Source organism: Homo sapiens, chromosome 1 (assembly GCF_000001405.40).
Source record: "Homo sapiens chromosome 1, GRCh38.p14 Primary Assembly".
Classification (NCBI taxonomy): Eukaryota; Metazoa; Chordata; class Mammalia; order Primates; family Hominidae; genus Homo; species Homo sapiens.
In genome coordinates this window covers 5,061,206-5,076,973 of record NC_000001.11, presented here as the reverse complement: position 1 = coordinate 5,076,973, position 15,768 = coordinate 5,061,206, and positions in this window count along the sequence as shown.

Below are 15,768 nucleotides of genomic sequence, written 5' to 3'. Positions count from 1 at the left end.
TTAAAAGTAATAAAAATGGGGACATAGGAAAAATGTACAGCATATGGGAGGATAAAGTGGTTCCTTTTATAACCTGCTGCTTAGATGACAGGGTGGTCTGTGCTGGTGAATAAGGAAAGCTTGTGAACTAGAAGCTGGGCACAAGAATCTTTGGACCACTCCAAAGACTATGGGAATCTAAAAGATGTTAACTATGATATTGTGACCTGGTAGGGAGGTCTCTGTTTTGAGATTCTAGAGCTGTTTAGAACAACAGCAGCAACATAAGCATGACAAATAACACTTATTTAGTCCTCCCACAAGGGTTACAAATAAATCTACTGCATTCTTCAACCTGGTTTGGGGGTCACGGGGGGCGGGAGGAGGGCGGCTATTTTGGTCTCAGGTCAACTTCCCCCGTAAGTATGTTATTCTTTTGTATATACCAGATTTCAGAGTAAATCAAGGTACTGTTAAAGAACAAAATTATTCAATGATACTTGTTAAAACACAATAAGAAAGACTTTGTTCAGGATGATCATGAAAGGTACAAAGACTACTGCAATGCAGTCTTGCCGTGGGAGAGAGATTGGACTCAACTCTGAACACAGCCCATGCCAGAGGGAATTTATAGCCGAAGAGCAGAGTAGGAGTCAGTGGATGGAAAATGACTAGGAGGAAACATCAGGGGTAGGGGGACTCTGGCTAAACCCAATTAACAGGATTCTTGCTGAAGACAAGCCAGGTGATCAGATGTCACCTGGGGGGGTGGAGGATGAGGAAACTGATCAGATATCAAGGGCGGGGGTCTACGCTAAACTGACTTAGAAAGGTTTTTTTAAATCTATCTGTCTGTCTGTCTATCTATCTATCTATCTATCTATCTATCTATCTATCTATCGAGAGAGCTAAAACTGGATATATATCTCTATATACAGAGATAGATGTATCTATAATATATAGAGATATATATAGATATTTCTATTTATATAGAGCTATATATAGATATATCTATAGATAGACTTCCTTTTAACTGGTGCAGGTTGGTCTGTGTGACTAGAGTGCCATCCATCCCAGGACAACCGTTTTCCAGGTTTATGACTCATTTTTCTTTGGTTATACATAGATATACATATAATCTATATATTTTATATAGATTATATTTACATATTATATATAATTTATTATATATAATATATAAATATATTAAATATAAATTTATATATTAAATATAAATTATATATAATGCATTATATATAATTATATATAATGCATTATATATAATTTATATTTAATGCATTATATATAAATTATATATAATGCATTATATATAAATTATATGGCATACATTATATATAAATAATATAATATAATTTATATATTATGTATTATATATAATTTATATATTAATATAATATAATTTAATTATATATAATATAATATCAGTATCATAGTAATATTACATATAGTATATATTATATATTATATACTATAATATAGTTTAATTATATATAATATAATAATATAGTAATATATAGTATATAATATTATATATAATATGTATTATAGTATATAATATTATATATTACATTATATATATATACATATATAGCTAAAACTGGATTTTATTAGGAAGTGCACAGATAGGCTGAAGGCTCAGGAGCCTGACTAAAGTTTGGTTAAGCAAAGAGTCAGTCCTGATTCTTGTTCAAAGGAAGAAGACACATCCTTTTTTTCTCTGAACAGTGTAAGTCCACTTTCTTGTTCAGTTGCCATTTGTTCATTAATGACCGGCTGAATCATCCACTGGCACTCGGCAGCTGAGGAGATCTCCTGCATGGTAGGAGACATAGGACTTCAATGAAGGGAGTTTAGTTTCTAAGAAAATAGACACAAAACCAAAGACTAATAGCTGGAACAAATTATAAACTTGGTTTCTGAGTCCAGAGGGCAGCCAGTCAAGAAGATTTCTAGATGCTGGGTTTTAAGCATCTTCAGTTGAAGTGAGGACAGGCAGTGGCAATCTGAAAGATTTTCCTGGTGTGCGGTTTGGATGTGAGGAAGATTGTCCGTACATTAGCTCTGGTGGTGGTTTCTCTGAAGTTTACATCCACATGTCCAACTTCAACTGGCAGAGCTTCAGGGTAAAAAGCAGTTTAATTTTAGTGATTCGAAGCCAGAAGGTTGAAAGAAAATTGGAGATACTAGCTTGGAGAATCATAGTCAGATATTGAAAGAAATTAGAACATAGAATCCAGTTCAGAATGAAGATAGATAATAAAACCTCAAAGAAAACAAACAGAGCTAGAACCTAATATTGAGTGAACTATAGTTTTCTTCTAGAACATACTTTTTTTTCTCTGTAGAGTCACCCAGTTTCTATCAAAGATAATCAAAGTAAGACTAATCGGTTTGCAAAATAAGTTTGGTCTCATTAAACTTGGCCTGAATATTTATGTAAGTGCAGCAAGATTAGTGACTGACCATATAGACTCTTTTTCAGTTTGCTTTTCTGGAACTTTTAATAAGAAATAAAAGTTTAATCTGAGTCTTTTCTTGCAAAAACAAGAAAAGACTTTTAAGACTAAGAAGCAATATCAAGAACTTACTATCAGGCTGCAACCGTAACACGGATTTGAGTGAATTCCTTTCTTCATAAGGTCCTCAAAATTTCCCAGGATTACTAGGCCTTCCAAGAATTAACATGTTTTAATCACCTGTAAGTCTGAGAACTCTCAGACCAGTTTTTCCAAAGGGGGCTTTATTGGCTCTATAAAGCCAATCTCAGTTTTTAAAATCTATCTGATAATATCTGAAAATATGATATTCTAGTCATAGCCTTGGTAATACAGCAAGTGTTTCCAATTATGTCCTGTTATAAGGACAACTGATTCTTACTGAATTTGTAGTTATTTGCACAACTATATTATTATAAAAATAAAAATATTTACGAATAGTTTTCAAAGTCTGGAGGGATCACCAGGGAAAATGTGCTTCAATTTTTGTTCACAAAAGTAAACATTACCAAGTTGCTGTAAACTAGAGATAGCTTAAAAATGTTTCCTAAAATCTAGAAAACAAAACATTTTAAAAGTTGGCAATATTTAAATAAAAAAATCATTTAAAAATTACCCTTATGAGTTCATTCAGTCTCACATGATTAATTTTTTTTTTTTTTTTTTTTGAGACGGAGTCTCGCTCTGTCACCCAGGCTGGAGTGCAGTGGCGTGATCTCGGCTCACTGCAACCTCTGCCTCCTGGGTTCAAACAATTCTCCTGCCTCAGCCTCCTGAGTAGCTGGGATTACAGGTGCCCGCCACCACACCCAGCTAATTTTTGTATTTTTAGTAGAGACGGGGTTTCACCATGTTGGTCAGGCTGGTCTCGAACCCCTGACCTCGTGATCCACCTGCCTTGGCTTCCCAAAGTGCTCGGATTACAGGCGTGAGCCACCGTGACCGGCCCTCATGTGATTAATTCTTATTCTGCTTGATCTTAGGATAGCAGTTTCATGAAGTCGTCAGTTTAATTAGAGTTCTGAAAATTCTTTATCCAGTCCAAAAGTATTATCTTAAAGTTGTTAGAAATCTGTAATCCAGAGTACTTGCAAAAGTCTTTTTTAATGAATCTCCTCAATGAGAAAGCAATTTTGAACTATTGCTAACTGCAAACACTTCTAGAGAAAAAGTAAAGTAAAATAATATCTGTCTATGAATGACAGAAACTTAAAACTACCATAGTTTAAAGTCTGATGAGAGCTCGTATAATAATCATGCAACTGATCAGGAAATTTGATTATTTCTGTGGCAAACAACATTTTAATATAATATCAAGATTTTGACCAATAACATATCAGAGTTCTAGAATATAAAATGTTTAACAATTGTATATAATTTCTGGGACATGTATTTACAACATATCCATAAAATTTTAAGTCAATGAAGGATTACACAATTTCTTATTTAACAATGATTCCCATAGAATTTAGAAATCAAATTAACCTTATTAGTTTAATACCTTTATTTGGAAGTTAAGAGTCGCATTCTTCGAGCTCTCCAGGGACTCACCTGGAAATCTCGAAGTTAAAGGTCAAAAAGACGCAATATAAAATTTTATTTTGGAAATGTATCAAAAGCTCAAAAGGGTTTAAACAATTGAATTTATTTTGGTTATATATTTAATCAAAGTGACAATAAAAGATTCCAAAAGCAAATACAGAAAGTTACACAGTTGTGATTTAAACCATGAGCTGTTTTAGTTTTGAGAAGACTCAGTTTTCTTACATAATTGAAGACCTAATAAAATACATCAAATTCAAGAAATTTTCTTGATAAAACACAAAATCTTTGCTTCCTAGGCCAATTACTTAAAAGAAAAAAAAAAAAAACCTGGATATTCTCACCCACATACTTCAAGAAAACTTTGTCATTTTAACAGAGAAGACCAGATTCTACTTTTGTATCAATCCACTATTAAAACTAATTTTTATTAAAATAGTATAAATACATTTATGCAATCTCAATCAGCTTTGATGACACAAGATTTTCACAACATTTTCACAGACTCTCTCTTTTTTTCAACTTTTACAACTGACGTGTTTCAGGCAATTATGCAATTCACTTTTATTGTGCAGTCTGCTCTCAGGTGCGATTGACGGTTTTATGGCCTCAAACATCTATCACAGGCAACACAAACCTATGTGACCAGCAAGGCCTGGCCAAAACAAACAAACAAAAACAAACAAACAAACAAACAAACAAACCCAGTATGCTGACAATTCTCAAGACATTTGTATTTTTATCTTACCAACGATTTTTAAACTGGCTTTTATTTATCAGAGATTATCCCTGATCACATTAACTTAAAAAACAGTTGGGCTGATTTCTGTTTTTCTGAAAGTGAGTTTGGTAATACCATCAGAGATAAAAAAAATATGTATGCATAACATACAAACAAACATACATACGTGCACAAATAAATACACATACAGATAGATCCAACCAGATCTTACAGCTTTTAATTTAAAAAATTTTAGCCATGAAACAGTAAAACAGAAAAATATAAACTCACTGGTTTATCTCCACTTTATATAGTTATCCAAATTGTGTTTTTTTTGCAAATGAGACAAGTTGAGGTTACCTACTGAGTAAGGGCTGAAGCTTTTTACCAGTATTTGTGAATGTCTTTCAGATTTTTTATTTTTCAAGTTTCCAAATAGTTCTTTTTTTATTTCTCTCTTTTCAGCCTTCAGCTTGCTTTTAAGGGAACTCTGAGTCCCCTGAGGTGCTGAAATGTGAGGATAGGAGGCTTAAAATTCAAATGGCCGAGGGGCTGAAGCAGGGAGGGAAGGGGTCCAGAGTTAGCAGAGTGTAGAGCCAACAGGGTTTCAAGTAGATGATACAACTGATAAAGAAATTTGATTATTCAAGTGATGGAGAAGTTCCCATGGGAAAAGCAGGATTCAGTAGAGAGAACGCGGAGTGTAGAGAGAATAAAGAGGCCCCACAGAGCCAGGAAGGAGGACCACCAGCCCATGAGGCACCTTTCAAAAGAAGCCTGGGACTCTAATCCAGCATCAGAGAGTTACACCCATGGCTTAAGAAGAAAAATCTGTCCTCACCAGCTTCAATAGATGTTTGTCTGGAAAAATGTTTCAGGAGTCAGACTCACCAATGGATCTCTCATCAGTTAACCAGGAAAGATGATAAAGGCCTTGAAGGCCTGAACCTGGGGTCCTGAGTAAGAGCCCCAGGTGTGGAATAATAAATCTGATTCTATCCTACTTATGGCACTATAACTGGTAAAGAAAAAATTATTCAGTGCTACTTGTTAAAGCCTGATAAGGAAGACTTTATATTCAGGACCATTGCAATAGATGTAGGGACCACTATGATGGAGTCTTGCAGTGCAGGGAGAGAGTGGGCTACACTCCTAATGCAGCTTGGGTAAGTGGGGATTCATAGCCAAGGAGCAGGATGGGGTCCATAGACAGAAAATTATTTATGCCTGTAATCCCAGCACTTTGGGAGGCCGAGGCAGGTGGATCACCTGAGGTCAGGAGTTGAAGACAAGCCTGGCCAACATGGTGAAACCCTGTCTCTAATAAAAATACAAAAATTAGCTGTGCATGGTGGCACATGCCTGTAGTCCCAGCTACTTGGGAGGCTGAGGCAGAAGAATTGCTTGAACCTGGGAGGCGGAGGTTGCAGTGAGCTGAGATTGTACCGTTGCACTCCAGCCTGGGTGACAGAGTGAGACTCTGTCTCAAAAATAAAAATAAGTAAAAGAAGAAAAAAGAAAATTATTAAAAAGAAACATCAGGGGTGAGGCAGATTCTGGCTAAATCCACCTAACAGGATTCTCTCTGAAGGCAGGCCAGGGTGATCAGCTACAACCTGGGGATGGTGGAGTATTAGGAGTCTGATCAGGTATCGAGGATGGTCAGGATGAGGGTGGTGGTTCTTGGCTAAACTGATTTAGCAGAGTTCTTTGCCAAAACTGGGTTTTCCAAGGAAGTGCACAGATGGGCCTAGGAGAAGGTTCAGGAGCTTGACTACATTTTGCCTAAGCAGGGAATCTTTGTCAGTACCTGGAAGTGAAGGCTCAAAATTAATTGGCATCTTTGTATATAGAGAGACATGGCTGTATGCTTTGAATGTGCATAGCTAATGTCCTGTCATTGTAAATTAGGACACAAATTGCTTCAGGAATATTGATGGGCCATGAATTCTGGAATTGCCAGAGAGAACTGGAATCACTTCATGAATGGGATCGTGACGGGAAAGGCATAGGCTTACATTTCCATTTCCCTCACATCTTTAGGCAAGTGTGACTGAAACATTTTCTTGGCATTTATGTTTAATATATACACTGACTCCCAGCATTTGACTCCCAGCATTTGACTCCAAAAATTTGGAAGCCCTCCTCCCTTAAAAATAATGTATACACTTGTGCATTTATGCCCACCCTGACCTATCAAGATATTGATCTTTGAATTCCTACTGTTCATGTATAATTTTTAAAAAGTTGAGACATGAGCCTTATACCAAAATAAAATAAACACATATTAAGGATTTTATTTGATTCTTTAATTATAGAGGAAATTAAGATGACGATAAAGCTGACTTGAATAGCACCGAAGGAGCAGGAATTTTACTGGCCAACAAAAAAGTTAAAAACAAAACCAGTTAATGTGCTATAGGACAATAAAACCATTACCTTTGGGGTTAGAGATACACAACAGAAATCTACAAGTTAAGATGTAGCTTCCCTGTAAGTGAGCAAAGTCAATCACAAATATTCCCCTAGAAACCAGCACTATTCAATAGAATTTTCTGTGGTGCTGGAAGTGTTCTTTGTCTGTGTTGTGTAATGTGGTAGTTACTTGTTCAATAACTTTATGTGTCACTTGAAATGTGGCCTAGTGTGACTTGGAAAGTGGATTTTAATTATATGAATTTAATTAATTGTTAATTAATTAATTAATTAATTAATTAAAACTTGATTTTAAATAGCCACATGTGTCTGGTAGCTATACTATTGGACAGAAGAGCATGATAAAATGTCATTGGGAGAACGTGCTAAGCAATACTCCAAGATGACATTGAAAAGGTGTGCTGCTCTTCTTTGTGCCTTATTTCCAAGTTTTACTTGTGTTAAATAAAACATTTAAAAGGCCATGTTTTAGACTAAGCTCCTGCATGAGGCCCCAACAGATCTGACTAAATCAAAATGGAGTCACCCACGCTAAAGTTCCAAGTCGCCAAGCTGAAACTAAAATGTCGTCTGACCTTCCAAGAAATTGGGAAAAAGAGATGACAGCCAATTTCCAAACAAGCCAGTTTCAATCTTCAATCAGCATGAAAATGAAATTCCCTTTGTTTTAATTCTTATAACAAAAGGTAGCCTGAAGTCACTTGATGTGAACTGATCCGTCATTTCTCTATTGTTCTGTCTCCCTGTCCCTGCTTTACAGAGAAAGTAACTTTGAAATGACCAATCTGCTTTTTGTTCTTCCTTTCTGCTTTCTTCATCCCTTTCTGTCTGTAAAACAAACACCCTCTGCTCAGCTCATCTGAACACTTATTCAATTTTATGGAATAACATATTACCTGATTCTAGAATTGCAATAAAGCCAGTTGAGATCTTTAAACTAAATTTGTTGTAATTTTGTCCTTTGATGCTTGATATCATCTATACGGTTTGGCTGTATCCCCACCCAAATCTCATCTTGAATTGTAGCTCCCATAATTCCCATGTGTCATGGGAGAGACCCAGTGGGAGGTAATTGAATCATGGGGGGCAGGTCTTTTCCATGCTGTTCTCATGATAGTGAATAAGTCTCACGAGATCTGATGGTTTTATAAAGGGGAGTTCCCCTGCACATGCTCTGTCTTGCATGCCACCCACGTAAGACATGACTTTGCTCCTCTTTCACCTCCTGCCATGATTGTGAGGCCTCCCCAACCATGCTGACCTGTGAGTCAATTAAACCTCTTTCCTTTATCAATTACCTAGTCTCAGGTATGTCTTTATTAGCAGCATGAGAACAGACTAAACACATTATCTTTGTAAGATATAATTATTTTGGTTTGTTTTTGGCTTAATGGCTGTTGTTTCTCCCCAGCCAAATTTGTGTGACCAGTGCCTGTGGAACTATTTAGCCTTTTACACCTGGACAACCAATTGAGAGCATGTTTTGCATAGAGAAATCAAACAGACAACAGCTAGGATGTAGAACAGATCTAAGTTAGTGCAGTGTTTTTTCTATTGTTTAAAAGTTCTTCCCAGTGTTTATCTTTCTCCTTCTTCCTCCAGGTAAAGGATAATTTCCTTACTAGAAACGATTATCACATCAAAGTGGCAATTGACAGCCTGACATACAATATATTGTATTTGTATTTTATTAACTTCAATGGTCTTTGATGTTGAGGAGCTCTCAGTAAAGGCAGTTGAATAAACAAGCTAATTGACTGAGCATATTGATCCACATTGGCAGTTCTGTTTTTAATTGCCAGGTTTTGATGGGCATCTTCAATATATCTGTTCTGGGTAGTACATGAAACTCAATTGTAGATCAATTGGCAGGGGTTTGTGGGCCTGCCTAAACAGAGAAACGTGAAGTTCAACAACAACAACAAAAAGTGAGATGCTTAATTCTGATTTTGAATGAACAGAGAGCATCCTTTCCTGAGAAGAATTAAATGTTTTTGCTTTTGTGACTCATCAAATCCAAGTTCTTATGTTGGAGTCTGTCCACAGGTAGGTTTGAATTGGACAACTGGGCTTATTGCCAGTTCTTGATTCTACATATCTGTGTTTCTGACAGTATGTTAACATTCCTTTTAGGTTGGAATGGTCAATATATTTTTTCCTTTCTTTGGGTAGAGTTAAAAGCAATTGATGAAGCACCTGCCATGTGTCAGATTCTGTTCAAGGCTTTGGAGATACACTGGTGAGAAAACCAGGAAAAGTTCTTGCCCTAAGACAGTCTGGATTCATGAATAGGTCCTGAGAGTGACTGTGAAACATGACACCTATGTCAACATGCCAAAGGCATTTGTCTTCATGCATATGAACATTCCATGGTGTTTCTAGAGCTAATCGGGGAAGACTAAAGACCTTGTGACTTTTTATTCTCTGGTCCTTGGGTGGGCCTAATTATTTCCATCTTTTAGTCCCCTCAACCATATTCAGTTCATCAAGAAGCCAAGGGTACCTGTTAGTGTATCATTTATCACACACTAAAGAAGTATCCATAATGAGACTGCTGAATGCATTTTCTGACAAAATTTACTGGAAAGTAGCAATGAGAAATTATACAGAGAGAGCTATTAGAGCTTATGAAAGATTAAGCATCTTACCTGCCCCATTCTGCCAGCCCATGATTCCAGGTGATAAATTTACCTCTGCTGGAGGATGTCATGGCTATCATTAACATCTTCAATGTAGATTGGACCATTTTCAAGAGCCACCTCAGCTACAAAAAACAAATACCCTGAGTAGTCAGTTCCAGGCATGGACCAGCCTGGCGTAGGTGACCAGAATACGCCACTCGCAAAATATTCCACCTTGGCATAGCATTTTTCTGAGCTGAAGACAATTGAGAAGAAGCAGACAAACTCTCTGCCCTCCCGCTATTTGCCTAAAAGCAGGACATAAATATATAAAGATGTCTGCTACTTCCCCCTATCAGTATGAACAAAGATCAACCACTGAATACTTTAGACCCTGTATTAGTCCATTTTCACACTGCTGATAAAGACATACCCAAGACTGGGAAGAAAAAGAGGTTTAATTGGACTCTACAGTTCCACATGGCTGGGGAAGATTTCACAATCATGGCCGAGGGCTAAAGGCAATTCTTACATGGTGGCAGAAAGAAAGAATGAGGAAGAAGCAAAAGCAGAAACCCCTGATAAATCCATCAGATCTCGTGAAACTTATTCACTATCACGAGAATAGCACAGGAAAGACCAGCCCCCATGATTCAATTACCTCCCCCTGGGTCCCTCCCACAACCGTGGGAATCCTGGGAGATACAACTCAAGTTGAGATTTTGGTGGGGACACAGCCAAACCATTTCAGACCCTCGTCAACCTGGAGGCAGCACCAGAGGATTCTACCTAACAAGCTTTATTAACCAGGCTTTATCTACCCTCTATTTGCCTTCCACATTTTGCCACCCCCTAGGCACCCAAAGTCCTATTCCTGGGTCTCATCACTTCTCTAAAAATGTCTTATTCTTGGCCAAGGATGTTATTTAATACAGTGTTAAGCCATTTCTTTGAGAATGACTCATTCCCTGGGTATCTCCCATGTATATATGAATTATATGTGTTAATAAACTTCTGTTTGATTTTCTCTTGCTAATCTGTCTTTTGTTACAGAGGCCCAGCCAATGAACCTAAGATTGGTGGAAGGAAAAAATTACTTTTTCCCTCCCTACACTGAGAAAGTCCTTTCCTGTGGGAGATGGATAGCCATGTTGAAAGTGTTGAAGTGTGGAAAATAATAACACAGGGTCATGAAACAGTGAAACTAGCTAAATCCTCATAATTCTTTTGGTCTTGAGGGAGGAAAGTGTCCATTGCAATTGTTCGTTGACTCATAAAATAATTTCAAAATATTTGACACTCCATGTAACCAGCACTCAATCATAAACCAGAATGTTGGTAGCATCTTGAAGCTCCTCATTCTTCCCTCCATCACTAACACTCCCCCATCTACCCACAGGTAAGTACTGTCTTAACTTCTAACATCACAAATTAATTTCACCCTTATTTTTAACTTTGTATAAATGGAATCATGCAATATGTACTCTTTTGTGCCTGGCTGCTTTCACTAAACCTATTGTTTGTAAGACATTTCCATATTCTGTGTTGCTGAAGTTTATTTATTCTTACTGAGAATATACCAAAATTATTTTACTGCTGATGGGCCTCTGAGGAAATTTTCTGTTTAAGGTAATTGCAAACAATGCTACTGTCTTCTGTTTTTCTCTTCCGGGGGAATATAGGTACTTATCTATTTTAGGTATGTGACTAGGCATGGAATTGTTGCAAAGCAGGGTACATAAGTCAATTCTCACTATTCACAGAGTCTACATCTCGAAGTCACCACAAACGCTGAATTAGCAAACACAGAGCATTTGCTCTTAGGGAAGTTACAGGGTTAGGTTCCTGTGAGCCTCTTTTCAAAACGTTTTCATCAACAGATCAATACATAACCCTGTTTTGTGTGCTTCTATTTAAAGACATCTTATTTAATATATACTCTTGATTCATTAACATTGAACCCACCACCAACAGTGCTGTAATCCATACCTGAACAAAGCTTCTCTAACACACATATTTTCTTTGGGAGACACACCACAGCTCTCTTATGCTTCAAACCCCTAGACAGCACGTCACTACTGTGCTTGGGAGCATGTTAAACACCAAAATCATTCACCAGGAGCACCCAAAAGTAAAAAACGATGACACCAAGTAGACCATAAAAAAGATACTTGTTTACAAAATGAGAGTTGAAACAAAAAGGCAGAGAGTCACCTTGTTTGACCTAAGCTGGGAAGATGCATATCAGGTGACTCAAATTCTTTGCTGCTCTGTGCATATCCATGAATGCAAGTGAAAGTATTGAGTTTTGGAATTACAAAGAAATTTTAGTGAGTTGACAATTTGCAAATAAGAAATTCGTGAATGATGAAGATCAGCTTTATGCTCAGTTTTTGTAGATCCTGAGAGAGTTTCTTAAAATGGTTATACAAATGTAGTTTTTGAGAAGTGCATGGGTAAAAATAATATATTATTTTAATTTGCATTTTACTAAGGACTATTCTAATTAAGTCAGTATGTGAGAGATCTGGTTGTGCCATACTGATACTTGGTTATTTTTTGCCTTTTTCTTTTTAGCCAGTGTGGTGGGTGGAGTTGGCTGCCCAATAGAATAAGTTTGTTTGTTTGTTTTATTCTGACATCCAAATTCTCTTTTTGATTGTAATTCTATGTATATTGTATTTTTACTGTATCTCTTTCATTGTTTCATTTCTTTGAAGATGGTGAAATTCATGGTAGTTTGAAGACTAGAGATGATTCAACAAATGGCATCACTTAGTGCTGTTAAAATTCCTCCCTGAGGCACATCCTCTTCCCCCAAGGTGGGATAGGGCCATTAGGAAATGAATCTTCCTAGTGATGTGGAGCTAACCTCCTAAATATAAAAGAAGCCAAAGCCTTTTGAGTGTATCTACAAGGCTTTCATCAAAAGATGTTGATGAAAAGGGGGAAAATGAGAAAGGGAAAATAGCTCAGAGCATTCTGAGATATGTAAAGTGTGCAAAATTTATCAGGCCCACAGACACCTGAGGATGGAACTTCAGTCATGGCCCCTGCACCCCTGTCTGGGGCAATTGTTTAAAGGCATTTTGTTTCTCAGTAGCTGCCTCATACATTATATTCATGTTCCTGGAATTTGTTATACAAAGAGCAATATATAGCCAATCAATAGCTCATGTTATTTAAATGCAAATTCTTGGTAACGAACTTAGGAACTTCCTCTTCTTTTTCCTTAAAAACTCACTTGTAAGTGCTGCTAATGAGACTGTATATTCAGGGCAACTTGAATCTATGCTCCCAGGTGTCCATCCTCAAGCTTTGGGCTCAAATAAACTCTATACTTAATCATATTTTCTGAATCTTGTTATTTAAGATGTATCTAAAAGGTTCATTGTTTTGCCTTAGACAGTTAGGTCTCTTATGCATCATACAAATTTTTGAACATGGTGTGAGGTTGGGATTAAAACCCATTTTATACCACATAATGTCAACCAAAGCTAGCATTATCTACAAAAAGACTACAGTTTCTGACCAGACATGGTGGCTCACGCCTGTAATCCCAGCACTTTGGGAGGCTAAAGCGGGCAGATCATGAGGACAGGAGATCGAGACCATCCTGACCAACATGGTGAAACCCCTTCTCTACTAAAAATACAAAAATTAGCTGGGCTATCTACAAAAAGACTACAGTTTCTGGCTGGGCACAGTGGCTCATGCCTGTAATCCCAGCTACTTGGGAGGCTGAAGCAGGAGAATCGCTTGAACCAGAGTTGGAGGTTGCAGTGAGCAGAGATCATGCCACTGCACTCCAGTCTGGTGACAGCGTGAGACTCTGTCTCAAAAAAAAAAAAAAAAAAAAAAAAAAGATTACAGTTTCTTTACTTCAATCCCTTGTTCATTAAATACATTGAATTAAATCTCTTTCCACAAAGAATATTCCAGTCATAATTGACTTCACTGGTGAATGCTTCCAAATGTTTAAGGAAAAAAAATAACACTACTCTTATACAAACTCTTCCAAACAGTAGAAAATGAGGAAATACTTCTTATTCTTTTTATGAGGCCAGCATGACTTTGATAGAAGATCTGGCAAGAACAGTATATGAAAGGAAAATACAGACTTATTCCTCATGAACATGGATGGAAAATTTCTAAATAAGACCAGATTGAGTTTAGAAATGTATAAAAAAGGAAAATCACTCATTGGGTTTTATTTCATGGATTTAAAATTTTAAAGAATTGATCACTAAAATGTATATTATGTACAGAAATATGGGAAAATTTATATCTTCATTTCAATAAATGCAGAAAAATAAAATTAAACACCCATTTATGGGGAAAAAAAGCTCTCAACTGACTACAAACAGAATAAAACTTCTTTATCTGGTAAAAGCTATTTCCTGCAAACATTAAACTTAGTAGTGAAATAGTGAAAGATTTCCCCTAATGTAAGAAATGAAACAAACAGGCACACTTCACTAGACATTGTAGGAGAAAATGCTAAAGTCTGTGAATATAATTGTAGATTTATTTAATTCATCTTTCAGTTATTTAAGTTTTTGCTCCAGTGTTTTGAAGCTTTGTTGTTAGGTACATGCATATTCAAGATTGTTATATTTTCTTAGTAAATTGCCCTTTTTTATAATTATATTATGCCTGTATTTATTTCTGGTACTATTTATTCTTCTAATGTCTATTTTGTCTGATATTAATAAAGCCACTCCAGCTTTCTTTTGTTTATTGACTGCATGGTACATCATTTTCTATTTTTTTCTTTTTTTAAAAAAATTATTTTAAACTTTATAAAGATATAATTCACACCATAAAATTTACCTGTTTAAAGTCTACAATTCAGTGGGTTATCGCATATTCACAGAGTTGTGCATCTACCACCATATTCGAATGTAGAACATTTTAATCAACATAGAAGTAAACCCTGTACCCACATCAGACAATCCTTATCTCTCTCATCTTCCCCACCCATGCTTCCTTCACCTCCAGCCACAGGTAATCCCTCATCTTCCTGTCTCTGTAGATTTGCCTTCTCTGGACACTTTATATAAATGAAATCATACAGTATGTGACTCTTGGTGACTGGCTTCTTCCACTTACCATAATGTAATGTTTTCAATGTTGATCTGTATTGTTGCATGTATCAGTTCTTCATTTTGTTTAATTTCTGAATAATAGTCCATTGTGTGGATATATTTAATTTATTCATTAATCTGTTGATGAACATTTGGGTGTTTCCACTTTTTAGCTATCATAAATAATGCTGCTATAAACTTTTGCATTTCCCTGTGGACATACACTTTCATCTATATTAGGTATGCATTTAGGATTGGAATTCCTGGGTTATATGGTAGCTACATGTTTAAGTTTTTAAGGAACAACCAGACCTTCTTCCAATGTGGCTATACCATTTTACATTCCCACTAGCATTGTATGGTTATTTAGATTTCTTTGTGTCTTCACCAACATATATTAACTGACTCCTTGATTCTAGCCATTCTAGAGGGTAAGAAAAAGTATCTCGTCATGGTTTTGATTATATTTCCCTGGTAACTATTGATGCCAAGTATCTTTTCATGTGCTTATTGGCTGTTTATATATCTTCTTTGTAGACATGTCTTTTTAGACTCTATTTTAAAAATTAGACTCTTTGTCTTTTAATTATTGAGTTGTATAAATTCTTTGTATATTCTAGATATGAGTATCAGTCAAAGAAAAAATTGCAAGTCTGGACATTAGTAAGACAGGCAATTCTCAGAAGGGATGTTCTTTGTTGCAGTGATTGTTTTAGCTCAGGAATAAGTCAAGATCCAGGGGCTTTGGGAAAGAAGAGAAGCCTAATTAAATTTTAGTCCAGTCAAGTTAGTGAGCATTATATCCAGATTGCTCAGTGTGGACAAACAAGTCAAGTAATAATTTATGAGAAAAAGAACGGGAATCT